This window comes from Homo sapiens, chromosome 7, assembly GCF_000001405.40.
Source record: "Homo sapiens chromosome 7, GRCh38.p14 Primary Assembly".
NCBI classification, from domain to species: Eukaryota; Metazoa; Chordata; class Mammalia; order Primates; family Hominidae; genus Homo; species Homo sapiens.
The window spans coordinates 1112725-1139445 of record NC_000007.14 but is presented as its reverse complement, the minus strand read 5'-3'; the positions used below and the strand labels follow the sequence as shown (position 1 = coordinate 1139445).

The window sequence follows — 26721 nt, the reverse complement described above, 5'->3', positions numbered from 1 at the left end:
TAGCCACGCCCACTTTCCTGACCGCGGATACCATGAAAAAATAAATGTTCTTTTAGGCTGCTAAATGTTGGGTTAATTTGTTATGCAGAAAAAGGAACCAAATACAATCTTCTACCAGTAAGGAAGAGTGCACCTTCTTTGCTTGTCACCTTTGGATTCCTGAGGCAACGTACATCATACTTGATACGGCTGCCAAGCACTTAACTTACTGGGTGACTTGAAAGCATGCTTTTTTTTCTTTTTTTTTTTTAGACGGGGTCTGGCTCTGTTGCCCAGGCTGGAGTGCAGTGCCTTGATCATAGCTCACTGCAGCCTCCATCTCCCAGGCTCCAGCGATCCTCCCACCTCAGCGTCCAGAGTATCAGGAACTACAGGCACGTGCCACCATACCCGGCTAATTTTTATTTTTTTAATTTATTTTTTATTTTTTAAAACAGAGTCTCATTCTGTCGCCCAGGCTGGAGTGCAGTGGCACGATCTCGGCTCACTGCAACCTCCACCTCCCGGGCTTAAACGATTTTCCTGCCTCAGCCTCCCGAGTAGCTGGGATTACAGGCACCTGCCACCACGCCTGGCTAATTTTTGTATTTTTAGCAGAGACGGGGTTACGGGGTTTCGTCATGTTGGCCAGGCGGGTCTCGAACTCCTGAGCTCAAGCGATCCGCCCGCCTGGGCCTCCCAAAATGCTGGGATCACAGGCGTGAGTCACCGCTCCCGGACACAAGCATTATTATAACACTACCCACCCTGTGTATTTTTTAGCACCTATCCTGATTTTTTAAATTCAGCACGAAGTTTAAGTCCTAGCCCTGTTGATCCCAATAGCCGTAGCTCATCCATTTCGACTCCGAGCCGAGCTCCATACCCTGGACCCTCGGCGGAGGCCCCACCCCGGGACGCCAGCCCGGCCGGGGCAGCTTGCACCCCAGACCCCCAAGCCCTGCGGGGCCCAAACCTAGTCATCTGCACTTGTTCTGGGCAGGGCGGGTTGCCTTGGCAACCAGCTCCTCTCCAAGCAACTCTAGGCCTCTAGAGATGGCGTCAGTAGCCCGCGCCCGGTCCTGGAACCGCCCCCCGTGCTGCCGCCGCTTGCCATTAGCCGGCGGAGAGACGGACGCAGACCTCGTCCAATGGGAGGCTCCGCACTCCTGAAGGCGGGACTAACGCTTACCTGGGGCGCGGGTCCCTGCCGGAAGGCGGCGTCCGCGACGCAGCTGTTCACGCTTAGGTGGGCGACGTGGGCGCAGGTGGGCGCAGGTAGGCGCGTGGGGCGGCGGCGGGGTGGCCGGCGGGTCAGGGCGCCAGGAGACCCAGAGCCCCGGGGCGGGCTCCCGCGGGGCTCCGCCCCCTCCACGTGGGTGCGCGGAGGCCCGGCGCGGCGCGACCGGGCGGCGGCCCTGGGGTCCGCGGTGCTGGGGAGGCTGGTGCGGCCGGTGCGGCCGGTGCGTCCCGGCGCGGGCTCCGACACCCGCACCCGCCTCTGGGTTAACTCAGCGCGGGCGAGTGGAAGGGACTCAGCTGGCTCCTAGGTTTCAGGCCGTCAGGGCTTGCAGTGGCTCTGGTTTCATTGTCTTTCTCTGAAGACGCCCTGATTGCCCTCCGAGGCTTTCAGCTCCCACTTTCTCTTTTTCAATTTTTGAGGCAGTGTCTCGCTGTGCCACCCAGGCTGGAGTGCAATGGCGTGATCATAGCTCACTGCAGCCTCCACCTCCTGGGCTCAAGCCGTCCTCCCGCCTCATCCTCCCAAGTAGCTGGGACCACATGCGCGCGCCACCACACCCGGATAATTTTTAAAAATGTTTTTTGTAGAAATGGGGTCTCACCATGTTACCCAGGCTGGTCTCGAATTCTTGGGCTCAAGCGATGGATCCTCCTGCCTCGGCCTCCCAAAGTGCTGGGATTACAGGAGTGAGCCAACGCGCTTGGCCTCACTTTCCATCATAAGCATGCTTTCCGTTTCCTTCCTTCCGTCATTCATTCATTCATTTTTAAAAAACGTTCATTGGGTTCCTCCTGCACTGTTCGGGGCATTGGGCTACAGCTGTCAACAAGTGGAGACAAGTCTGTGATCTAGTGAACTTCCATTCTGGAGGGGAGAGACAGATGAACAAGGTGCACAGAGCAGGTGATGGTAAGTGCCATGGAGAAGATGAGAACAGGGGTTTTGAGAATGGAAAGGAAGCAGGAGGAGGAGTGAGGCACCAGAACATTCCAGGTCGAGGAAACAGCAGGTGCAGGGGAAACAGCAGGGAGCCCAGTGTGGCTGCAGCCAATTTGGGAACAGAGAGAGAAAGAGGAGGTGAGTTCCCAGAGATGCGAGGAGGGGCCAGGGCAGTCGTGTGGACCTTACCAAGTGGCAAGGACCTTGACTTTCCCTCCAAGTGGAAGGGGACAGCTTGGGAAGTTTTTTGAGTGGAGGTGACACACCATCTGATTTAGGAGTTTAAAAGCCATCGTGAGAGGTGGTGGCTTGGACTGGGTACCTATGGGATCTTAAGGGAGTCACATTCTGGGTGTATTTCAGTGGTAAACCAACAGGAGTTTGTGGTGGGTTGGACGAGTATGTGAGAAAGAGAGGATTTATGGATGGACCAAGGTTTTAAGCTTGAGCTACTATGTGAACCTCATCAGATGGATGTTTATGGAGAGGATGAACACTAGGAAGCTCAGGTTTGTGGAGGGTGATCAGGGGTATTGATTACGAATTCTTAAGCTTGAGATGATATATGTGTAGATGATATATATAAGTACATATATATGGTTATATATATAGTTATATATATACACAGTTTATACACACATCCGCATATATATATTTATTTTTATATATTTATATATATTTATATATGTTTATATATGTTTATATATGTTTATGTTTATATGTTTATATATGTTTATATATGTTCATATATATGTTTATATATATTTATATATGTTTATATATATTTATATGTTTATATATGTTTATATATTTATATATGTTTATATATGTTTATATATATTTATATATATGTTTATATATATTTATATATATGTTTATATATATTTATATATATGTTTATATATTTATATATATTTATATATATGTTTATATATATTTATATGTTTATATATTTATATATTTATGTTTATATATATTTATATATGTTTATATATATTTATATATATTTTATATATTTATATATGTTTATATATATTTATATATATTTTATATATTTATATATGTTTATATATATTTATATATTTGTGTATATATTTATAATTATGTATATTTATACATATTTATGTATATATATTTATATATTTATGTATATATTTATATATATTTATGTATATATATTTATATACACATTTATATAAATTTATATATACTTATATTTATATATATTTATATATACTTATATATTTATACATATATTTATATATACATATATATTTTATATATATATTTATATATGCTTATATATTTATATATACTTATATATATTTATATATATTTATATATACTTATATATTTATATATACTTATATATATTTTTATATATACTTATATATTTATATATTCATATATATTTTTATATATTTATATAAATACATATTTATGTAAATATATTTATATATTTATTTTATATAAATAAATAAATAAATTGTGTATATATATATATATATATATTTCTTTTTGAGGTGGAGTCTCACTCTGTTGTCCAGGCTGGAGTGCAGTGGCGCGATCTCGGCTCACTGCAACCTCCACCTCGTATTCAAACGATTCTCCTGCCTCAGCCTCCCGAGTAGCTGGGTTTACAGGCAGGTGCCAGCACACCCAGCTAATTTTTGTGTTTTCAGTAAAGATGGGGTTTCACCATGTTAGCCAGGCTGGTCTCAAACTCCTGACCTCAAGTGATCTCCCCGCCTCGGCCTCCCAAAGTGCTGGGATTACAGGCGTGAGCCACCGTGCCCGGCCATACACATACATATATATACACACATGTAGATATATGTGTATAAACAGTGTAAACAGAGGTCAGGAGTTCAAGTATATATATGTGTATATATGTCTAGGTACACATATATGACCATGTATATATATATAACTATATGTATATACATACAACTATAGCTATATATATACACAGTTGAGTTGGCGTGTAGTTGAAGGAGAGGGTTAATAAGAGACTGTAAAGAGAGGAAACAAAGTCATCAGCGTCTAGTTGGTATTTGAAGCCACATGACTGAATGGGATCACGAGGGAGTGAGGAGGCTGAGCACTAAGCCTGGGTCCTTCAGTGTTCAAGGACACGGCGATTAAGAGGTGGGAGCAAAAGCAGAAGTTCTGCTGTCTGTGCTGGATGCCAAGTGAAAAATGCCTGTCAAGAGAGAAGGAAGGATCAACAGTCCAACGCTGTTAGGTCAAATAAGTTGCATACTGAGAGTTGGCAATGGGATTTAGCCACGTGGGTGTCATTGTGGTAGGGTGTTTGGGGCAAAAGCCTGATGGGATGGGGGAAGGAAAGGAGTCAGAGACAGGGCAGGTAGATGACTCTTTATGTATTTATTTATTTATTTATTTTTGAGAAGGAGTCTCACTCTGTAGCCCAGGCTGGAGTGCAGTGGTGCGATCTCGGCTCACTGCAAGCTCCGCCTCCCAGGTTCACATCATTCTCCTGCCTCAGCCTCCCGAGTAGCTGAGTAGCTGGGACTACAGGCACCCGCCACTATGCCCAGCTAATTTTTTGTATTTTTTAGTAGAGACGGGGTTTCACCATGTTAGCCAGGATGGTCTCGATCTCCTGACCTTGTGATCTGCCTGTCTCGGCCTCCCAAAGTGCTGGGATTATAGGCGTGAGCCACCGCACCCGGCCTATTTATTTATTTATTTAGAGACACAGTGTCACTCTGTTACCCATGCTGGAGTGCAGTGGCGCGATCTCGGCTCACTGTAATCTCCATAGTTTCAAGTGATTCTCCTGCCTCAGCCTCCCGAGTAGCTGGGACTACAGGCACACGCCACCACACCTGGCTAATTTTTGTATTTTTAGTAGAGATGGGGTTTCACCATATTGGCCAGCCTAGTCTCGAACTCCTGACTTCAGGTGATCTGCCCACCTCGGCCTCCCAAAGTGCTGGTATTACAGGTGTGAGCCACTGCGCTCAGCCTTGCCCCCCACCCTTTTAAGAGACAGTCTCTCACTCTGTCGCCGAGGCTGGAGTATCATGGCGTGATCGTGATTCACTGCACCCTTGAACTCCTAGGCTCAAGTGATTCTCCTGCCTCAACCTCCCAAGTAGCTGGGACTACAGGCACGCACCACCATGCCCAGCGAATTAAAAAAATATATATATATATTTTGGGGCCAGGTGTGGTGGCTCACGCCTGCAATCCCAGCAGTCCAAGGTGGGAGGATCACTTGAGCTCAGGAGTTTGAGACCAGTCTGGGAAACATGGCGAAACCCCATTCCCACAAAAAATACAAGAGTTAGCTACGTGGTGGTGTACACCTGTAGTGCCAGCTACTCCGGAGGCTGAGTTGGGAGGATTGCTTGAGCCTGGGTGGTCGAGGCTGCAGTGAGCTGTGATTATGCCACTGTGTTCCAGCCTAAATTTTGTCTCACAACAAACATTATAGCAAATGATCTTTCTCCCATTTATTTATTTATTTATCGTAAAGTAGCACCTGGGTGTTTTTTTTTTTTTTTGAGATGGAGTCTCATTCTCGCCCAGGCTGGAGTGCAGTGGCTTGATCTCGGCTCACTGCAATCTCCGCCTCCCGTGTTCGCGCCATTCTCCTGCCTCAGCCTCCCGAGTAGTTGGGACTACAGGCGCCTGCCACCACGCCCGGCTAATTTTTTTTTTGTATTTTTAGTAGAGACAGGGTTTCACTGTGTTAGCCAGGGTGGTCTTGATCTCCTGACCTCGTGATCCATCTGCCTCAGCCTCCCAAAGTGCTGGGATTACAGGCGTGAGCCACCGTGCCTGGCCGCACTTGGGTGTTACATTTTTAAATTTATGGTAAATAATTTGAGAGGGATTATAGTTTTTTTTTTTTTTTTTTTTTGCAGTATATCGAGGGATTGTGAAACCATCACCACAATCTAATTTTAAGACTTTTTCCTTCTGCCACAAGAAACCCTGTGCCCCTTAGTGGTCACCCACTCTTCCCTCCACTTGCCCTATCCCTAAATAATCTCTCATCTCCTTTCTGTCAGTATAATTTGCGTATCCTGAGCTTTTCACAGAAGTGGAATTTTGCAGTGTGGAGTCTTGGGCGTCTGGCTTCTCCTGCCCGGCACAGTGTCTTCTGGGTTTATTGTCTTGTGGCACATGTCAGTATCCCATTTCCTCTGGTGGCTGAATAGTATCCCCTGTGTGAATACGCCACGTCTTGTTTCCCCCTTCGTCCATGGATGCACAGACACGGAGGTTGTTTCCACCGCTTGAATATTAGGCACATACTGCCGTGAACATCATTGGACACATTTTTATGGAGATGTGTTCGTTTCTCTTTGATTGGCATTTCCTAAATGACCCGATGCTGAGCTGTGTTTCATGTGCCTGTTGGTCATTCGTGTATCTTCTTTGGAGAGACGTCTCTTCAGATCCCTTCCCCATTTAAAAACCGGGTTATTTGTCTCCTGTTGTTGAGTTGTTAGAGGTCTTTATATATTCTAGTTACTAGTGTCTTCTCAGATAAGTGATTTGCAGGTATTTTCTCCAATACTATGGGTGGTGTCTTTTTTTTTTTTTTTTTTTTTTAAAGACAGGTTCTCACTCTGTTGTCCAGGCTGGGTTGCAGTGGCATAATCATGGCTTATTACAACCTCGACTTCCAGAGCTCAGGTCATCCTCCCACTTCAGCCTCCCAAGTAGCTGGGACTACAGGTGTGCATCACCATGCCCAGCTAATTTTTTGTATTTTTTGTAGAGATGGAGCCTCACCATGTTGCCCAGGCTGGTCTTGAACTCCTGGGCTCAAGCAGTCCTCCCATCTCATCCTCCCAAAGTGCTGGGATTAGAGGCGTGAGCCACAGTGCCTAGCCTGGGTTTTCTTTTTGCTTTGTTTTTTGTAGAGATGTGGTCTTGCTGTGTGGCCGGGACTGGTCTGGAACTCCTGGCCTCAAGTGATCCTCCTGCCTTGGCCTCCCAAAGTGCTGGGATTACAGGCATTAGCCACTGCACTCAGCCTCTTTACTTTCTTGCTGGCATCCTTTGCAGCACAAAAATTTTAAATTTTGTTGTAGTCCAATTTATTATCTCTTTTTCTTTTGCCACGTGTTTTTGGTGCCATATGTAAGAGGCCATTGCCTAATCCAAGGTCATGAAGATTTAATCCTGTGTTTTCTTCTAATAATTTTACACTTTTAGCTCTTCCATTTAGGACTTTGATCTATTTTGAGTTAGTTTTGTGTATGGTGTGAGGTAGGGCTCCAAATCCATTCTTTTATATGTTGGTAGCCAGTTGTCCTGGCACCATTTGTCTTTCCCACTGAATTGTCATGGCACTCTTGTTGAAAATCAGTTGACAGTAAATGAAAGTAAACGTCATTTTCCATAACAAACATTCATTATCTCAAAGCTTGAGTCACTTTCCCTTAGAACTATTAAAAGGAACCTTTCCATAATATGGAAAAGTCTTTTATCCCTTATTAGCAAATAGACATAGTGATTAAGTTTTTAAATGATAACTTACAGAATGAATATAGATTTTACTTAACTTTTATAGTAATGGGTGTGTAAATATTTGCTGAACTTTTCTTATTTCTCTCACAAGGTAATTGGCTGGCATGGTCTCTTGTCTTTCCAGAGCCCCTGTGTCAACAGTATCTCATTCTTCCAAGATTTCTTATTACATAGCTAATTGAAATCTGTAGCCTCTGGCTTCTGATGCTTTTTAAAGATAAGGCTCAATTAAAGAATAAGGGGCTTGGGGTTTTCTGATTCCACAATAGGAATATTCTTCCAATGTGCTGTTACCAGTGATAGCCCCGAGTGGGATGGGGGGAACCCTTGTGCAGGCTCTGCCTTTTGGACAGGGCCTTTGCTCTTTGACTGTCTCCTTGGTTTCTGGCCTCACCTGGCATCCCAGGCCTGTCTTGACCTCCCCTGACTCTTTTTCACAGCGAGGGGTATTTAGACCACACCTGGGCCCTAGGTGGGCTCAATGCTGCCAGGCCCTTTCCATGATGATCATGCTTTTTAAACTGCTGCTCTTCTGTAACCTATCCTGCTTTACTCTTTTTTTTTTTTTTTTTTTTTTTTAAACACAAGGTCTCATTCTTTTGCCCAGGCTGGAGTGCAGTGGTACAGTCATGGCTCACTGCAGCCTCGACCTCCCAGGCTCAAGCAATCCTCCCACCTCTACCTCCTGAGTAGCTGGGACCACAGGTGTGCACCACCAAGCGTAGCCAATTTTTAAAAAATGTTTTGTAGACGTGGAGCCTCGCTATGTTGCCCAGGCTGGTCTCAAACTCCTGGGCTCAAGCAGTCTGCCCACCTCAGCCTCCCAGAATGCTGGGATGACAGGCGTGAGCCACTATGCCTGGACTGTTTTACTTTTGGGGTGGGATCTGGCTTTCTGGGTGTTCCCTGGCTTACTGACGTGGTCCTTTGTGGGTGTGTGTCTGAGCCGTCCGGGCTGGAGGCCGTGGTGAAGCAGCGTGCATGCCGCGTGTGCTGGTTGTTGAGCTCCTGTCTCTTGGCTCCCCAGCACCTCTGTGGCACCCCCCCGCCCCCACCCGCCCGGGGCCCACATAGCCTGGGGCTCTGCAGGACACTTTTCTGTTCTCAGCTCCTTTTCGGCTGCACCCAGTGGGGGCGGCAGAGGAGACTGGGAGCTGGAGGGTGGGGAGGAGTGTAGGGAGGAGTGTGGGTGAGGGGGTGGCCCTGGGGAGGGTGGGGATAGGAAGGGAGGGGTGGGGACAGGGGCATGGGGTCAGGTGAGGGCTTCTTCTGCTCCTGCTGTCCTGCATGAGTGAGCCCATGCAGGAGGCTTCGCTGCAGCAGCAGGCGTGGGCCGGGCCCCTGCTTCTCCCTCCTAGAAGCAGCCTTGTCCCTGCCCGCTGCCACCCCAGGTTGTTCCTTAGGTCCTGGCCACAGCCACCAGCACCCCTCCATCAGGGGCCCAGGGCCTGCTATCCCAGCCCCTCCAGCAGGCTCCCAAGTCTGGTGGCCTCAGCTGCCTCTTTCGGCTCCCTCATCACACAGTCCACAAAGGACACGGGTTCTGCCGTCCCTGGACTTCTCCGTCCTGGCGTGGTGTTCTGGAGACAGCTGTGCTGGAGAAAGGAGGCCTAACCACATGCCCCTTGAATGCCGCATCCACCCTCATACGTGGCCTGCTCCATGCTCCTTGCCCACTCAGAGGAGACCCCAGACTCACGGTGGTCCTTGAGCCCCTCCACCCGAGGGTGCCAGGTGTCCTGTGATGGGCAGGACCGGTGCCCGCAGCCCGTGTGGTGCCACAGCTTTGCTAGTTGATGGGGAGCATGAGTGAGCCTGATAGGAGAAAGTGAAAACAATTCAAAATATTCAGTAATTAGAGAGCAGGCAGATTTTCACCTTTGGGAAATTATGATAATGTCACTAAAAATGGTATTTCTCTTAATCTTAAACGCTTTGTGTTCATGTCCAGTTAGAAATATAGAATATGTAATCCATGTATGATTGCAGCTATGTTAAATAAAAACACTCAGAAAAAAGACCGAACGGGGCTGGGCATGGTGGCTCATGGCAGTGGCCCCAGCACTTGCGGAGGCCGAGGCGGAGGATGGCTGGAACCAAGGGGTTTAAGACCATCCTGGGCAGCATAGCAAGACCCTGCCTCTACAGAAGATTTAAGTGAGCCAGGCATGGTGGCATGCGCCTGTGGTTACAGCTGCTCAGGAGGCTGAGGTGGGAGGATGGCTTGAGCCTGGAATTTTGAGGACGCAGTGAGCCGAGATTGTGCCACTGCACTGCAGCCCGAGTGACAGGGTGGGATGAGCCGAGATGGCGCCACTGCACTCCAGCCCGGGTGACGGTGGGATGAGCCGAGATGGCGCCACTGCACTCCAGCCCGGGTGACGGTGGGATGAGCCGAGATGGCGCCACTGCACTCCAGCCCGGGTGACGGTGGGATGAGCCGAGATGGCGCCACTGCACTCCAGCCCGGGTGACGGTGGGATGAGCCGAGATCGCGCCACTGCACTCCAGCCCGGGTGACGGTGAGATGAGCCGAGATGGCGCCACTGCACTCCAGCCCGGGTGACGGTGGGATGAGCCGAGATCGCGCCACTGCACTCCAGCCCGGGTGACGGTGAGATGAGCTGAGATCGCGCCACTGCACTCCAGCCCAGGTGACGGTGGGATGAGCCGAGATGGCGCCACTGCACTCCAGCCCGGGTGATGGTGGGATGAGCCGAGATGGCGCCACTGCACTCCAGCCCGGGTGACGGTGGGATGAGCCGAGATCGTGCCACTGCACTCCAGCCCGGGTGACAGGGTGGGATGAGCCGAGATGGCGCCACTGCACTCCAGCCCGGGTGACAGGGTGGGATGAGCCGAGATGGCGCCACTGCACTCCAGCCCGGGTGATGGTGGGATGAGCCGAGATCGTGCCACTGCACTCCAGCCCGGGTGACAGGGTGGGATGAGCCGAGATGGCGCCACTGCACTCCAGCCCGGGTGACAGGGTGCGATGAGCCGAGATGGCGCCACTGCACTCCAGCCCGGGTGACAGGGTGGGATGAGCCGAGATCGTGCCACTGCACTCCAGCCCGGGTGACGGTGGGATGAGCCGAGATTGTGCCACTGCACTCCAGCCCGGGTGACGGTGAGATGAGCCGAGATGGCGCCACTGCACTCCAGCCCGGGTGACGGTGGGATGAGCCGAGATCGCGCCACTGCACTCCAGCCCGGGTGACGGTGGGATGAGCCGAGATGGCGCCACTGCACTCCAGCCCGGGTGACGGTGAGATGAGCCGAGATTGTGCCACTGCACTCCAGCCCGGGTGACGGTGGGATGAGCCGAGATGGCGCCACTGCACTCCAGCCCGGGTGACGGTGGGATGAGCCGAGATGGCGCCACTGCACTCCAGCCCGGGTGACGGTGGGATGAGCCGAGATGGCGCCACTGCACTCCAGCCCGGGTGACGGTGGGATGAGCCGAGATTGTGCCACTGCACTCCAGCCCGGGTGACGGTGGGATGAGCCGAGATGGCGCCACTGCACTCCAGCCCGGGTGACGGTGAGATGAGCCGAGATGGCGCCACTGCACTCCAGCCCGGGTGACGGTGGGATGAGCCGAGATGGCGCCACTGCACTCCAGCCCGGGTGACGGTGGGATGAGCCGAGATCGCGCCACTGCACTCCAGCCCGGGTGACGGTGAGATGAGCCGAGATCGCGCCACTGCACTCCAGCCCGGGTGACGGTGGGATGAGCCGAGATCGTGCCACTGCACTCCAGCCCGGGTGACGGTGGGATGAGCCGAGATCGTGCCACTGCACTCCAGCCCGGGTGACAGGGTGGGATGAGCCGAGATGGCGCCACTGCACTCCAGCCCGGGTGACGGTGGGATGAGCCGAGATCGTGCCACTGCACTCCAGCCCGGGTGACGGTGGGATGAGCCGAGATTGTGCCACTGCACTCCAGCCCGGGTGACGGTGGGATCAGCCGAGATCGTGCCACTGCACTCCAGCCTGGGTGACGGTGAGATGAGCTGAGATCGCGCCACTGCACTCCAGCCCGGGTGACGGTGGGATCAGCCGAGATTGTGCCACTGCACTCCAGCCCGGGTGACGGTGGGATGAGCCGAGATTGTGCCACTGCACTCCAGCCTGGGTGACAGAGTGAGGCCCTGACTCAAAAAAAAAAAAGACAGAAAGGAAATATACCAAAATGTGTCAAGTTGGTTGTCCATAGGTTATGAAATGTGGGAGTTTGAGTTTATTTTAACTTTTATATGTTTTCCATAATACTCTTTTTTTTTTTTAATGGGAGAGTGCCCTACCTCTTTTTATTTAAAAATCTTACATGAGTTAAGCCTTTCATTTCCTTGTCTTCAGCAATTTACTTTCTCTGTTGCAGGATGGCAAAACAGAAGAGAAAAGTTCCTGAAGTGACAGAGAAAAAGAACAAAAAGCTGAAGAAGGCGTCAGCAGAGGGGCCACTGCTGGGCCCTGAGGCTGCACCAAGTGGCGAAGGAGCCGGCTCCAAGGTAAGGCCGCCTGTGCTTCACTGGCCCTGCCCTCTGGGATCCACCTGTTATCTGATCTGGAGGGAGAGGGGGTGGCTCAGCCTGCTGGTCTCTGTGGAGCAGAGCCTGGAACAGGTGCGGAGGCGTGGTGGGGCTTGGTGCCTTCCAGAAGCGATTGTAGGACAAAGAAGGATTTTAGTAAATTTTGAGTTGGAACCCTATGACTGCCTTTCTTAGCTGCCAGGAAACTGCTGTTTTGGGTGCTGTGTTGTGTAGGGGACTTGGTGGCGGCATGCAGGATGGTGAGGGGCCTGCAGCAGGCCTTCGGTTGGGCCCTGGGAAGGTGCGAGGGGCGGCTCCTCACCTGGGCATGTGCAGAGGCGTGTCCTGAAAGCCTGTGTTTAAAAATGCACATCTAGAAATGTTCGTGTCGAATAACACGATTATTGTCCGTTTGAAAATCACCTATTGGTATCACTTTCTAAACGGTGTGCAGCGGGTTATGAATAACGTTGAGATTTGAGTATCCACCACCATTCACTTGAAAAGACACGTGAGCCATCTTCTCCTAAAGTGATGCATTTTTATTCTTCGTTTTCTTGAGACACAGTCTCTGTCGCCCAGGCTGGAGTGCAGTGGTGGGATCTCAGCTCAGTGCAACCTCCATCTCCTGGGTTCCAGCGATTTTCCTGCCTCGGCCCCACAGGTAGCCAAGACTGCAGGTGCACACCACCACGCCCGACTAGTTTTTTGTATATTTGATAGAGACCGGGTTTCACCATGTTGGCCAGGCTGGTCTTGAAACTTCCGACCTCAAGTGATCCACCCACCTCGGCCTCCCAATATGCTGGAATTACAGGTGTGAGCCACCGCACCTGGCCTGCATTTTTATTCTTTTTTTTTTTTTTTTTTTTTTTTGAGACAGAGTCTCGCTCTGTCACCCAGGCTGGAGTGCAGTGGCGCCATCTTGGCTCACTGCCAGCTCCGCCTCCCAGGTTCATGCACTCTCCTGTCTCAGCCTCCTGAGTAGCTGGGACTACAGGCGCCTACCACCACGCCCAGCTAATTTTTTGTATTTTTTAGTAGAGACGGGGTTTCACCATGTTAGCTGGGATGGTCTCGACCTCCTGACCTCGTGATCCACCTGCCTCGGCCTCCCAAGTGCTGGGATTACAGGTGTGAGCCACTGCTCCAGGCCCTGCATTTTTATTCTTGAAAGTATTTTATTATGTACTGTATCATGTTTATCTTCCACAAAAAGATGCATATACATTTAAATTTGAAAATATAAAAAATTTTTTGACCCACCAAGTTCTGAGTGTTAAAATTTCTCTTCTGCATTGAGCTGTGTTTACCATTAGGAGCATGCAGTTGATCGAAACAGCATAATAGATTAGGAATTTTCACAAATGATTCTACATAAAGTGAAATCTGACGACGCGCGCGTCACATCGTGGTAAGAGCATTGTCACCCCGTGTTACCACCCCGTGGAAGGGCAGGGCTTTCCGTGTCTGCGGATGGCACACTCACCTGTGGATCCGCGCTGTCATTGCTCGAGAGAAAGCGGGTTTCCACAGGCTTTGTTCCTGTTCTCATGTCAGATTTCAGTGCTGAGCGCCCTTGCTGACATAGATGAGTAAATGGGAACAAGAGTAGTGTTGTAGCTTTGTTGCTTAAGTCCTTAAACTTTGAGACCATTCTGTGGTTTGGGCACATATTTTCAGGATTTATTTTAAAGCTCTATCAGTAAGTGACAGGTGGACTGGGTCCCTGAGTTGTGCAGGGGCCCGGTGCTGGCTTGTTACATTTGTTCACTTCCCCAGGGTGACACCAGGGTTCAAGCTTTGCCATTGATTAGTGCTGGAGGTCTCGTGCCTGGGGCAGTGTGCCATTGTGAGATGTGGGGTGGCAGGTGGCCCTGTTTTTCATGAAATGAGAAAATGGCCGCTGTGCAAAGGGAGGTGGAAAGGGGGAGCCCACGTGGGCCCTTCAAAGCGGCTTCCAGCAGGAGGTGGGCACAGCCAGTGCTTGGAGGGGTCCCTGGGCTACCCAGCCACGGATGCCCGGGACGGTGGAGTGTGCCTGGTTGCTGGGTGTGGCCCAGCTCACTCTGGGATCCTGTCCAATGAGGCAGTGCTGAGCTCTCGGAAGGTGGTGTGAAATCACGTCCACCACGTCTGTGGCTGCAGGCGGCTCAGCAGGCGTGGGTGGAGGGGAGAAGCTGGGGTGTGTGCCTAGAGGAGCTCCTGGCTGTCTCAGAGGGTCGTCTCTCACTGCCACCCCCCGGGCGAGGGAAGCCAGACAGCACCCCAAGCACAGCCAGACAGCTTGTCCTGGGCTCTCTAGCAGAACACCCCAAGGTCACCCGGAGGCTGAGGCCTGGCAGGTGCAGAGGTCCTGCGGCTCCCGCGCAGCGGGTCAGCAGGCAGCCCCGCGTTCCACCTGAGCCTCACCTTGAATTTCGGCTCCTCCTCCGCAGGCTGTTGAATTCCTGTGTCTCCCAGGCTGACTGCCTCTTTTTTTTTTTTTTTGTGCTTTTTTAAAATTTTTTTTATTTTTTATTATTATACTTTAAGTTTTAGGGTACATGTGCACATTGTGCAGGTTAGTTACATATGTATACATGTGCCATGCTGGTGCGCTGCACCCACTAACTCGTCATCTAGCATTAGGTATATCTCCCAATGCTATCCCTCCCCCCTCCCCCCCCACCCCCCGACTGCCTCTTACTCACTCCTTCTTCACAGCCTGAGGTCCAGTTGTGCTTTTTAGTTTGGGTTCCAGATGGACGCTGGTTTCCCGAGAGCTGCTGGAGCTCTTGTTCTGTGGTTCAGCCCAGTCTCAATTCCGCAGAGCCTCAGGCACACACGACTTTGGTGGGCGCGGCGTCACCCTGGACTTTTTGAGTTGAGTCAAGAGGCTTCTGGCTCTCCCTTCTTGGTGAACCCTCCTCCAGCCAGATCCCCACACAGGCCGCTGGTCACTGGCAGCACCCCCAAGACAGCTCGGCTTACGGTGACTGTGGGCAGAGGTTAAAACTCCTGCCCAAGTGAGGGAGTGGTGTCTGTCCTTTTGTTTAGGTTCAAGTAATTATTTTAAAGTATGTGATTATTTTTCATTATTAAAATACGTGTTGATTAAAAGAAAGCTGGAAAGCAAGAGGGGAAAGAAGAAAGCCTTTGTTTCCTCCAGCTACGCTTTGAGGGCTGGACTCTGCTGGTCTGTAACACGCAGCTGCCGGCAGAGTCACCAGCTTTCACTTGGCTTTCCGGCCACTGGCGTGGAGTTGGTCTCAGGCCCGCCCAGCTGAGCGTTGGGAAGCGACCTGGAGCTGGTTCCTTAGCCTTTGGAGGAGCTGGCAGCGGGAAGAGGGCCTGGGAAGCCAGGGAATGCGGTCTCGGTGGAGCCCGGTTCACCAGCAGGGGTCGGCAGCACGTTCCTTCCGAGGGAGCTGGCGGAGGGAGCTGCCTTCAGCTGGATTCTCTGCAAACTGCATGCCCCTGTGGCCAGTTTCCGGGCTACTGGGAGGGTTTTCAGATGGAGTGTGGGGGCTCAGGGGCTCATGTTCTTGTATGTCTGGGAGCCAGTCTCCCAGTGAAATGGGGTGTCTCTGCTAATATGGATATTTCCTTGCTGACTCTCCCTGGTTCTCATGGGAAATTGTTTTAAAAAAAAAAAAGTTTCAAGCGTTTTGTGAAGCTGAACCCAAGTGCTTAGGAGGGTGGGCGGCTGGGCCTGGGGAGCAGCATTCCTGGGCTCCGGGGGAGCGTGTGGAAAAGTACTGCGCTGCTTCCCTCCCCTCCCCCAGTGGATCCTGGATGAACCTCCGGAATCCACCATCGAGGATGGAGAAGCCTGTGTCCCCCCGTGGGCCATTGTGTTGTCCTCCCAGCAACGTCCGTCTGGGGAGCCTGCGGGTCAGCGGCCACTCCCGGGGCCCCGTGCAGCCTCTTCCCACAGCATGAGCACTCTGAGCTTGCGCCAGGATCGCCGCCACGTCCCCAAGTGATGGGAACTTCATCGCCCCTTGGGGAGTGTTCCTTCAGCGTTCCGGTTCCCACTCAGGCCTGTGGGCTTGGCCCGGGAAGCCTCCTGGGCCGGGTGCACTCACTCTCCCAGGCTTCAGTCCCTGGTGCCTCTGTCTGGCGTTGGTGAGGTTTGGCCGTTCCTCGGTCCTGGGCACCAGGGCCTCAGGGTCTCGGCTCTGGGTGTTGTTTGCTGAGCTCCCCATCCCGGAGGGCCCTGCTGGCCTGGAGTGCTGGGGAGGTGGGCGGCTTGTGGTGGCCCGGCAGGAGGAACAGTTGCTCCCATGGGCCTGTCTCGTGTCTTGGTGACTGGGCTGTATGATTGCCCACTGGTCTTAGGAGGGACTGGCACCTGCCGCTTCTGTCCTCCTCAGCTCTGCGGGCAGGAGGTTCTGCCGCTGGGGTTGGCGCCTTGGGCCTTTCCTCTTGTGGACCAGAGGGGTCCCAGGGTTTGCCCTGTCTGCTTCCTGTTTCATAGCTAAGCCCTCCCCGGGGAGCTGGGGTTTAGGAGTTCTGTTTTCACGTTCCTTTAACCCTTCCAGGCCTGGTTTCCCACTTGAGCGGGTTGTGAGGATGAGGTTTCAAATGACACATGTCCTTCGGGAGGACTGTGGGGCCCCGGCTGAGCCAGGCCTGCTGCCCAGCATCCCTTGGGGTCGGCGGACATGGTGGGAGGTCATGTGACTCGGCAGGTCTTTCTGTCTTTCACCCTCCCCCTGCCTCTCCAGTCTCACTAAAGGGGACCCTTAGCTTCTCTGTTTCTGTCTGAAGCCACGGAGCCGTATGCGGGGGAAGGCGGCATACGCGTGACCACCCCATGCAGAGCCAGCCGAGTGGCTGCTGGTGTGGAGGCCCCTGTGATGACCTGGCCGCCTCCCTGCTGCTGTCAGTGCTGTTTGGCTGCCTGGAAATGGAAGGTGGGCTCCCTCAGTCCACTGCTGTCAGCATGTCAGCAGAACCCCCCTGGCTTCCTCTGCCTCGTAAGAATCCCTTATGTGTGCAACACTTTCCGTCCCCACGAGCATCTTGACAGCTGATTCTTAGCAGCCTGGAGGTGCCAGGGGCAGAGGCGTGGGTGCTGTGCTGGTTTCAGTCACCTGGCCAGCTGGTCCTGGGGAAGAGACTCACCCCTGGTTTCTGACTCTGGTTACCTCATGGAGCCCACTAGCAGAGACCAGGATCCCTTCCTGTGGCTGGCTGCGAGCCGGCGGAGCCTCAGTCGAGGGCAGGGTCCATGTGTCAAGGTGCCGTGTAAGGACCATGAGGGCTCAGACAAGGCCTCGGGTGTGTGCAGCACGCTGCCCTGTGTGAGTGCAGTGGGTGGGTGCAGCACGCTGCCCTGTGTGAGTGCAGTGGGTGGGTGCAGCACGCTGCCCTGTGTGAGTGCAGTGGGTGGGTGCAGCACGCTGCCCTGTGTGAGTGCAGTGGGTGGGTGCAGCATGCTGCCCTGTGTGAGTGCAGTGGCCACAGAAGGCTTCGTGGGCCACAGTAAGCCCAGGGTACCATGTTCCCAGGTGCAGTCTTTCTGGCCCTGGGTGTTTCATGGTCTTGGCTGTAAACCCGTCTGGCGTGACCGCCTGGCTGTGGGGCTTGCGCCTCGCACAGCCAGAACGCGGGGCACAGGTGGTGGTCAGCGGAAGGGAGCAGGGCTACTTGGCTTGAACCGGCGTGTAGAGGCTCTGGATTTGCTGCTTTTGTAATCTTGAAAATCAGTGTGTATTACTAGAGCATGAAGACCGCAGCTTTATAAAACCATCAAATGAGGCCGTGAACTTCATGGCCTTGAGAATTTGCTCTGATCCAAAATACTTAAGACCAATGGTATTTTGCCCCAAGAAGCATTACTGCCCTGGCAGTGGGATTGTGTGTCATTGAACTCTTGGGGCTGAGTGGTGGCTGGTGTCTGTGGAGGCTCCCTGGGAGCCCGAATTGTTTTTCTTAGTAGAATTCCACCCACCCCCACCACATTGTTTTTATTTTCTCCTGTCTGACTGCTGCATGCCGGGTTGTCTGCCGACTGAATTTTGAACTCATACATGTACAGGGCTGAAAGGCAGGTGGAACCTGAGGAACAGTCTTACGTGTGGGGGAACTGAGACCCCGAGAACTTGTGTGGTCTCCCTGAAGCCCGCGTAGGCAGCGGGAGGCCGGCTCCCTCCTTCATCCCTGCCGGCCACGCTGCCCCGTGTCCATCCGTTTTTGATCCGTTTTTGTGGCTGAGTAAAATAGTCCATCTGCCCCATGTCCATTCGTTTTTGGGGCTGAGTAATAGTTTATGGGCTGTCTGCCAGCCGCGCTGCCCCATGTCCATCTGTTTTTGATCCGTTTTCATGGCTAATAGTTCATGGGCCGCCTGTCGGCCCTGCTGCCCTGTGTCCATCCGTTTTTGGGACTGAGTAATAGTCCATGGGCCGCCTGCCGGCCACACTACGCCCCGTGTCCATCCATTTTTGGGGCTGAGTAAAATAGTCCATGGTGCGGAATGATCACAGATTCTCTCACCCGTTTACTAGGGTTTGGAGACTGAGTTGTTTCCAGCTTGGGGCTGTTATGAATGTGCTGTGAACATTTGCATCTGTGACTTTCTATGCTTTCGTTCCGAGGACCGGAATTGCTGGATCCTATAGTAAGTGCGTGGTTAATTTTTTGAGAAGCTGCTGGCCAGGTACGGTGGCTCGTGCCTGTAATCTCAGCACTTTTGGGAGGCCGAGGCAGAAGGATCACTTGAGTTCAGGAGTTTGAGACCAGCCGGGGCAACATGGTGAAACCCTGTCTGTATAAAAAATACAAAAATTGGCCAGGCATGGTGGCGTGCACCTGTAATCTCAGCTGCTAGGGAGGCGAAGATGGGAGAATCACCGGAGGCTGCAGTGAGCCAAGATTGCACCACTGTACTCCAGCCTGGGTGACAGAGCGAGACCCTGTCTAAAAATAAAAAAAACCCCAAAATGTTGAACAAAAAAGAAGCATGAGGGTCCTGGCTCCTCCACACACTGGTCGACACGTGGTGCTGCTAGCTTCTTAATCTTGGCGGCTCTGGTAAGTGCTGTCTTGTCATACTGAGTATGTGGTTTTAAAAAACAGCTTTTTATTGAGGTATAATTTTTGGCTGCTCTTATAGGTGTAGTCTCATCATTCTGAGTATGTGGTTTTAAAAAACAGCTTTTTATTGAGATATAATTGATGTAAGGTCAGTTTTTTTCTTTATGACTTCTGTTTTTTTCTTCCGAAAGAAGTGCTTCTCTTTTATATTTTTTAGAACCAATTTAAATTTGTTTTATGTGTGATAGGGATCTAACTTCTTTTGTTCTAAAAGAAAGATACACTTGCCTTAGAATCTTTTGTTGAGCATTCTATCCCCCTTTTTTTTTTTTTTGACGGAGTTTCGCTCTTGTTGCCCAGGCTGGAGTGCAGTGACACAATCTCGGCTCACCGCAACCTCTGCCTCCCGGGTTCAAGCGATTCTCCTCTCTCAGCCTCCCGAGTAGCTGGAATTACAGGCATGTGCCACCACGCCCAGCTAATTTTGTATTTTTTTGTAGAGACAGGGTTTCGCCTTGTTGGCTGGGCTGGTCTTGAACTCCTGACCTCAGGTGAGCAGCCTGCCTCGGCCTCCCAAAAGTGCTGAAATCACAGGCGTGAGCCACTGCGCCCAGCCAAGAGTTGCACTTTCTCCATGTCCTCGCCAGCACTGTGATATGTGACCTTCTGATTCTAGATATCCTAGTGTGTCTGGGAAGTACACTTGCAGGTATTTTCTCCCATTCTGTGGCTTCTCTTTCACTTTCTTGATGTCCTTTGAGGCGCTTAAGATTTCGATTTTGATGAAGACCAGCTGATCTATTTTTCTTTTGTTGCCGGTGCTTTTGATACCACATCTAAGAAGCAAGCCTCCTGCCTTGGCCTCTCAAAGTGCTGGGAATACAGGTGTGAGCCCCTGTGTCTGGCTTTACATTTACGTTTTTGATTTGTTTTTTGTGAATTGTTGAGTGTAGTGCAAGGTGGAGATACAGTTTCATTCTTCTGCATGTGAATATCTACTTGCCCCAGCTCTGCTTGTTGAAAAGACAGTTCTTTTGTCATTTGAATTGTCTTAGAATCCTGGTTAGAATATCCTATTAACAGGTGTGTGCCACCACGCCTGGCTAATTTTGTATTTTTAGTAGAGACGGGGTTTCACCATGTTGGCCGGGATGGTCTCGATCTCTAGACCTCATGATCCTCCTGCCTCGGCCTCCCAAAGTGCTGGGATTACAGGCGTGAGCCACTGCGCCCAGCCCACAATAGCCTATTTTTTTTTAAGAGTCTCATAGTATTCCATTGTCTTGTTATACCGTAATTTATTTAGTGAGGTCTTTACCACACTGTTTAATACTTTAGTTTTTTTAAAAAAAAATATGCTTTAATATCTAGCAAAGTAAGTACCTCTTTTTTTTTTTTTTTTTTTTTTTTGGTAGAGATGGGGTCTCACTATCTTGCCCAGGGTGGTCTCAAACTCCTGGGCTCAAGTGATTCTCCCTCCTCAGGCCTCCCAAAGTCCTGATATTACAGGCGTGAGCCACCTTTCCCGGCCATAAGAAACTCTTTCTTCATTGTTTTTTTGGACAGTGTTCTTGGCCTCTTATTTGTGTGAATTTTGGAATCAGCTTTTCTACTCCACGAACATTTTTTTGCGACTTATTGAGGTTGTCTTTTCTGTCATTCAGGAAAGTTTTATGGTTTTCTCTGGAAAGGTCTTGCTTGTTTCTTGTTAGGATTCTTGATACTTTTGAGTCTGTTTCCTCCTTTGGTGTGTCATAATGGTTATTGATGGTGTATTGGGAAGTTATAGATAATTTGGATGTTGATCTTAGAGCTAACAATGATGCTGAGCTTTCTAATTCTATTGTCAATTGATTCTCTTGTATCGGGTTTTTTAAGTAAGCGAAAAGGTCTGCAGAGAATGGCAGGTGTGTCTCCACTTCGTGTTCATGCCGTCTTTGTTTTTCTTCTAGCAACGGCTAGGACTTTTGAGCCAGTGTTGTATGATAGAGGTGATCATCTTTAATATGACCATATAATTCACATTTTCCAAAGCAGAACTACTTTTTTGTTTCTGGCTTAACCCAGAAGCCTGGTGTTTTCATATTTTTGCTGGGTAAGCGTTGTGCTGTGGTTTTCTTGTTTTGGTCTCAGTTGAATTCTGAAGGAAACATAGTGTGGCTCTCTGGATGAGAAGATGGGCAGCATGTGACACTGGCAGCATTCCCGTAGCAGGAACGATGGGCTTCCTTTTTGTCTGTTTTTGAATAAGCACAGGCCTGTGGTCCCAGCTTCTAGGGGGGCCGAGGTGGGAGGATCCCTTGAGCTCAGGAGTTCAGGGCCAGCCTGGGCAATGTAGCAAGACCTGGTCTCTAGAAAACAAAACAAAATGAAAAAGGCGTGTGGGTGATGGAAGCTGGTCGGTAGAGCCGTAGCGATGTCATGCTGCGTGGGCGTCGGTGATGGAAGCCGGTCCTAGAGCTATAGTGATGTCATCATCCTGCGTGGGCGTTGGTGATGGAAGCCGGTCCGTAGAGCTGTAGTGATGTCATCCTGCATGGGCGTCGGTGATGGAAGCCGGTCCGTAGAGCTGTAGTGATGTCATCATCCTGCGTGAGCGTCGGTGATGGAAGCCGGTCCATAGAGCTGTAGTGATGTCATCATCCTGCGTGGACATTGGTGATGGAAGCCGGTCCTAGAGCTGTAGTGATGTCATCATCCTGCGTGGATGTCGGTGATGGAAGCCGGTCCGTAGAACTGCAGTGATGTCATCATCCTGCGTGGGCGTCTGTGATGGAAGCCGGTCCGTAGAACTGCAGTGATGTCATCCTGCGTGGGCGTTGGTGATGGAAGCCGGTCCGTAGAGCTGCAGTGATGTCATCATCCTGCGTGGGCGTCGGTGATGGAAGCCGGTCTGTAGAGCTGTAGTGATGTCATCATCCTGCGTGGGCGTCGGTGATGGAAGCCGGTCCGTAGAGCTGTAGTGATGTCATCATCCTGCGTGGACGTCGGTGATGGAAGCCGGTCCGTAGAGTTGTAGTGATGTCATCATCCTGCGTGGACGTCGGTGATGGAAGCCGGTCCGTAGAGCTGTAGTGATGTCATCATCCTGCGTGGGCGTCGGTGATGGAAGCCGGTCCGTAGAGCTGTAGTGATGTCATCATCCTGCGTGGGCGTCGGTGATGGAAGCCGGTCCGTAGAACTGTAGTGCTGTCATCATCCTGCGTGGGCGTCGGTGATGGAAGCCGGTCCTAGAACTGCAGTGATGTCATCATCCTGCGTGGGCGTCGGTGATGGAAGCCGGTCCTAGAACTGCAGTGATGTCATCATCCTGCGTGGACGTCGGTGATGGAAGCCGGTCCGTAGAGCTGCAGTCATGTCATCATCCTGCGTGGGCGTCGGTGATGGAAGCCGGTCCCTAGATCTGTAGTGATGTCATCATCCTGCATGGGCGTTGGTGATGGAAGCCTGTCCGTAGAGCTGTAGTGATGTCATCATCCTGCGTGGACGTCGGTGATGGAAGCCGGTCCGTAGAGCTGTAGTGATGTCATCATCCTGCGTGGACGTCGGTGATGGAAGCCGGTCCGTAGAACTGTAGTGATGTCATCATCCTGCGTGGGCGTCGGTGATGGAAGCCGGTCCGTAGAACTGTAGTGATGTCATCATCCTGCGTGGGCGTCGGTGATGGAAGCCGGTCCTAGAACTGCAGTGATGTCATCATCCTGCGTGGGCGTCGGTGATGGAAGCTGGTCCTAGAACTGCAGTGATGTCATCATCCTGCGTGGACGTCGGTGATGGAAGCCGGTCCGTAGAGCTGCAGTCATGTCATCATCCTGCGTGGGCGTCGGTGATGGAAGCTGTCCCTAGAGCTGTAGTGATGTCATCATCCTGCATGGGCGTTGGTGATGGAAGCCTGTCCGTAGAGCTGTAGTGATGTCATCCTGCGTGGGCCTTGGTGATGGAAGCCGGTCCGTAGAGCTGTAGTGAAGTCATCCTGCGTGGGCGTTGGTGATGGAAGCCAGTCCCTAGAGCTGTAGTGATGTCATCCTGCGTGGGCGTTGGTGATGGAAGCCGGTCCGTAGAGCTGTAGTTATGTCATCCTGCATGGGCATTGGTGATGGAAGCCGGTCCCTAGAGCTGTAGTGATGTCATCATCCTGCGTGGGCGTCGGTGATGGAAGCGGGTCCGTAGAGCTGTAGTGATGTCATCATCCTGCGTGGGCGTCGGTGCTGGAAGCCGGTCCGTAGAGCTGCAGTGATGTCATCATCCTGCGTGGGCTTTGGTGATGGAAGCCGTCCCTAGAGCTTTAGTGATGTCATCCTGCGTGGGCGTTGGTGATGGAAGCCGGTCCTAGAGCTGTAGTGATGTCATCATCCTGCGTGGGCGTCGGTGATGGAAGCCATCCCTAGAGCTGTAGTGATGTCATCCTGCGTGGGCGTTGGTGATGGAAGCCGGTCCGTAGTGCTGTAGTGATGTCATCATCCTGCGTGGGCGTCGGTGATGGAAGCCGGTCCGTAGAGCTGTAGTGAAGTCATCCTGCGTGGGCGTTGGTGATGGAAGCCGGTCCTAGAGCTGTAGTGATGTCATCATCCTGCGTGGGCGTTGGTGATGGAAGCCATCCCTAGAGCTGTAGTGATGCCATCCTGCCTGGGCGTTGGTGATGGAAGCCTGTCCGTAGAGCTGTAGTGATGTCATCCTGCATGGGCGTTGGTGATGGAAGCCGGTCCGTAGAGCTGTAGTGAAGTCATCCTGCGTGGGCGTTGGTGATGAGGAGGGTGGATGGCGTCTGACCTGGGAGGTGATGGGGAGCGCCTCCTGATTTCCTGTTCTCTGTGTTAAATAGCAAACATCCCCTGGCGCCCGGTGAGGGCGAGCCTGGGGGCTGGGTCTGTGGTGGGGCGTTTCCCGAAGGGTGGGCAGTGGCAGGGCCGGGGCCGTTTCTCATCTCAGTGAATGCCCAAGAAGTGTTTGGAGAAATTTAACACCCAGACATGATGAAAATCAAACAGTTTCTTCCCTCTCCCCAAGAAACACTCCTAAAAAACAGCAAAGATTTATTATAAAATGAGGCATATCTTTTTGGATCTTATTTATCTCAAAAGATGAGAATTTTTAAGCAAGTAGAGACTTTGAATTGTCTCCGCCAAAGCATGAGCTTTCACTTTTGTGGACTGCAGTCTGGTAACAGACATGCCCACGGTATCCACAAAGGCGAAACAGGACCCCCACAGGCATCTCAAACAGGAAGGGGTTTAACACAGGGAGTTTGGTGCTTATGGGGTTGCTGGGAAGGCTGCAGAGTGACCATGGCTCCCACCCACGTCCAACCCTGCAACCCTGTGAGAGCAGCTGCTTTGTGCGGGGCAGGGGCAGCTCTCCTGCGAGCCCCTCCACCTCCCCTCCTGCCCCGTGGGGCCTCAGACACCTGCCCATCGCCCGGGCAGAATGGCTCCCGGGCCACCCTCGTTTCTGAGCCCTGGCTCACCCCGCGGTTTGGGCCTGGCGATTCCTTGCTCTTGTCAGCCCTGGTTTGCTGGTGTTCCTGATCACCATCTCTTTCCCTCACCCATGGGAGAGCTGGCCTCAGTCCTTCCGTAAAGGCCAGCTGGGGAAGGGGGTAGCCCTTGGGCCCCGCGCCCATCACGGCCTGTGGAGCAGGAACAGCGTTAGGCCATGAGCGGCCGAGCGGGGGCAGCCGTGTCCAACCAAAGCTGATTTACCCACAGAGGCTGCCGGGGACTTGACCAGGGGGCTGAAGTTTCATTCTCCGAGTCTAAACATCGAGTCCAACCAAGGCAGAAACAGCACTTCTCCAGGCTCACCACAATTCACGCTGGTGACAGGGGCGCATTTGCCTCTTTAACCTGCAGCTTAGGACCTGCGTCTGAGGTCACTCCCCAGCTGCGGGCGGCCTCTGCCCTGACAGATCGTGGCACTTAGGCAGCAGGTCTTTCTGCCTCCAGTTCTGCGTCTCCTACCACGTGGAAGAGGCCCAGTGGTTGCACTTTGAGTAAGGAACAGCCCGGCCCTTGTATGGGCCAGTGGCCGCACAGTCTGGCCTGCACCCCTTGGGAAGTTGGCAGGACTCTGGGTTTATTGTGGGAAATGATCAGGGCCGTGTCCTTGCTACAGTGGGAAAGCTTGCCATGGGCACCGCTGCACTGCGGGTTAATTAGGAGAAGAATAGGGCATCAGTGAGCAACAAGAGGACATTTAACTTGAAATATAAAATTAGTATCTATGTCGACGGGAAGTTGAGCCACTGAGAGGTTTGTACTTCTTTCTGAGCTCGGGCCTCTCCATTCGCTCCCTGGAGACAAGTTTGAGAAGAGCCCCGGAGCAGAGCGTGGCCTCCTGCCGTCCAGGCCGGGTCCTGGAGCCCCTTTGCCCCTCGAAGCCTGCCATGGCTCAGAGTTTCTGCACCGCTCCTTGCCTGGCAGTCAGAGCTGGCACCCGCGGGTAGGAATTACAGGCACAGGTGGTGGCTTGGGATGAGGCACGCTGTCGGAAAATCAGTGCTGTCTAAGAGGAGGTAATGAGTCTGTCCTGGGAAATGCTCGGGCTGGGACGAGGTGGGTGTCGTAAGGGCCGCCCGGGAAGGAGTCCTGTGGAGCGTGAGATGTGAAGTAGATGAGCTCCGAGTCCCTGCCCAGCGCTGCCATCCGATTCCAGCTGTTCTGCATCCTGTGGGGCGTGGTGACCCATCAGCACCTCGTGATGCTTACAGAATCTTCTCAGTGTGGACGGTCGAAGCAAGTCCGTGCCCCTGCCATGTGGGTCGCACACCTGCTCCGAACAGGAACAGCACCAGCCTGCAGAGAACAGGAGCAGCTGCTGCTGCCCGGGCGGCGCCTTCTGGGAGCGGGCACTCCTGGCTTTCAGGGCATTGGTTGCTGGGGGACAGTGTGAAAACACAGTACTCAGCAAGCCAGTGCCATCAGGGCGCTCACTCGCACTTTCTCTTAAAGCAAGTTTATGTTTAAAATAACGGTAGATTCTTAGTAAATTAAAAAAAAAAAAAGCATGAGGGGCCTGTGTGGCCTGGCTTCCCCAGGACATCGACGTGGATGCCTCGCACAGAGCTCGTCCAGAGTCCACGGTTGTACGTGCGGGTGTGTGCGTGTGTGTGCGCCCTGCAGTTTTTCCAGGTGCATAGCTTCCTGTAACCACCACTGTGGCGGTCAAGATACAGGAGGATCCTGCACTGCACGGCTCCTGGTGCTGCTGCTTTATAGACCCTTATTCATCCACGGTGCAAAGAACATTTGGATCTCTGGGCTTTGGCTTTTGTGAGTAAAGCTCTGTAAATATGCCTGAGCATACGTTTCCATCGCTCTGGGGTAAGTGCCCAGGACGTGGCTGCCGGGTTGCATGGTGCATGCATGTTTAGATGTTTACGAAGCCGCTGCGCTTCTCCAGAGTGGCCGTGCCGTTTTGCGTTCGCACTGCAAGCACAGCTGAGGCCGGACCCCGCACCCTCACTGGCACATGGTGTGATCGCTTTTT

General features: G+C 51.9%; 1 protein-coding gene and 1 long non-coding RNA gene across 11 annotated transcripts in view, besides 6 other annotated features; one reads left to right on the top strand and one right to left on the bottom strand.

The window, feature by feature from the left end:
* Window positions 790-929: a silencer, noted in NCBI's record as "silent region_17845". NCBI's record gives its function as "represses an Ori minimal core promoter by ATAC-STARR-seq in GM12878 lymphoblastoid cells {active_cell/tissue: GM12878}" and the evidence as "EXISTENCE:reporter gene assay evidence [ECO:0000049][PMID:35858748]".
* Window positions 970-1069: an enhancer, noted in NCBI's record as "active region_25488". NCBI's record gives its function as "activates an Ori minimal core promoter by ATAC-STARR-seq in GM12878 lymphoblastoid cells {active_cell/tissue: GM12878}" and the evidence as "EXISTENCE:reporter gene assay evidence [ECO:0000049][PMID:35858748]".
* Window positions 1130-1579: a silencer, noted in NCBI's record as "silent region_17844". NCBI's record gives its function as "represses an Ori minimal core promoter by ATAC-STARR-seq in GM12878 lymphoblastoid cells {active_cell/tissue: GM12878}" and the evidence as "EXISTENCE:reporter gene assay evidence [ECO:0000049][PMID:35858748]".
* The window catches only part of CHLSN (cholesin), a 160294-nt gene continuing 134761 nt past the window's right edge, over window positions 1189-26721 (top strand). For 3 of the 8 annotated variants that reach the window (NM_001350968.1, NM_032350.5, NM_001350970.1), the window contains exons 1-2: window positions 1189-1257; window positions 12060-12189. In NM_001350968.1, the coding sequence (NP_001337897.1) occupies window positions 12061-12189 (129 nt within the window). In that variant the 5' untranslated portion in view covers window positions 1189-1257; window position 12060. Of the gene's footprint in view, window positions 2132-12059; window positions 12190-26721 lie in introns of all 8 variants that reach the window. The other 5 variants (NM_001134396.1, NM_001134395.1, NM_001424326.1 and 2 more) reach the window with 5 other exon arrangements.
* Window positions 1590-1639: a silencer, noted in NCBI's record as "silent region_17843". NCBI's record gives its function as "represses an Ori minimal core promoter by ATAC-STARR-seq in GM12878 lymphoblastoid cells {active_cell/tissue: GM12878}" and the evidence as "EXISTENCE:reporter gene assay evidence [ECO:0000049][PMID:35858748]".
* Window positions 7754-26671, bottom strand: LOC102723758 (uncharacterized). 3 transcript variants are annotated; one of them, XR_007060183.1, is made up of 4 exons: window positions 14904-26671; window positions 13700-13792; window positions 9375-9490; window positions 7754-9265 (listed from the first exon to the last, which is right to left on the bottom strand). It is a non-coding gene; the product is annotated as an uncharacterized LOC102723758 (long non-coding RNA). The 3 variants fall into 3 exon arrangements; XR_428090.4 differs by having other exon boundaries at window positions 8869-9490; XR_007060182.1 differs by lacking the exon at window positions 13700-13792 and having other exon boundaries at window positions 7754-9490.
* Window positions 14972-15141: an enhancer, noted in NCBI's record as "experimental_97501 CRE fragment used in MPRA reporter constructs". NCBI's record gives its function as "activates a minimal promoter by MPRAs in K562 erythroleukemia cells, with activity observed for both the introgressed and non-introgressed 7:1164026 variant alleles {active_cell/tissue: K562}" and the evidence as "EXISTENCE:reporter gene assay evidence [ECO:0000049][PMID:34662402]".
* Window positions 21846-23045: an enhancer, noted in NCBI's record as "BRD4-independent group 4 enhancer chr7:1156037-1157236 (GRCh37/hg19 assembly coordinates)". NCBI's record gives its function as "activates an origin of replication core promoter dependent on BRD2, P300/CBP, MED14 and CDK7 cofactors, and independent of BRD4, by STARR-seq in HCT116 cells {active_cell/tissue: HCT116}" and the evidence as "EXISTENCE:reporter gene assay evidence [ECO:0000049][PMID:35650434]".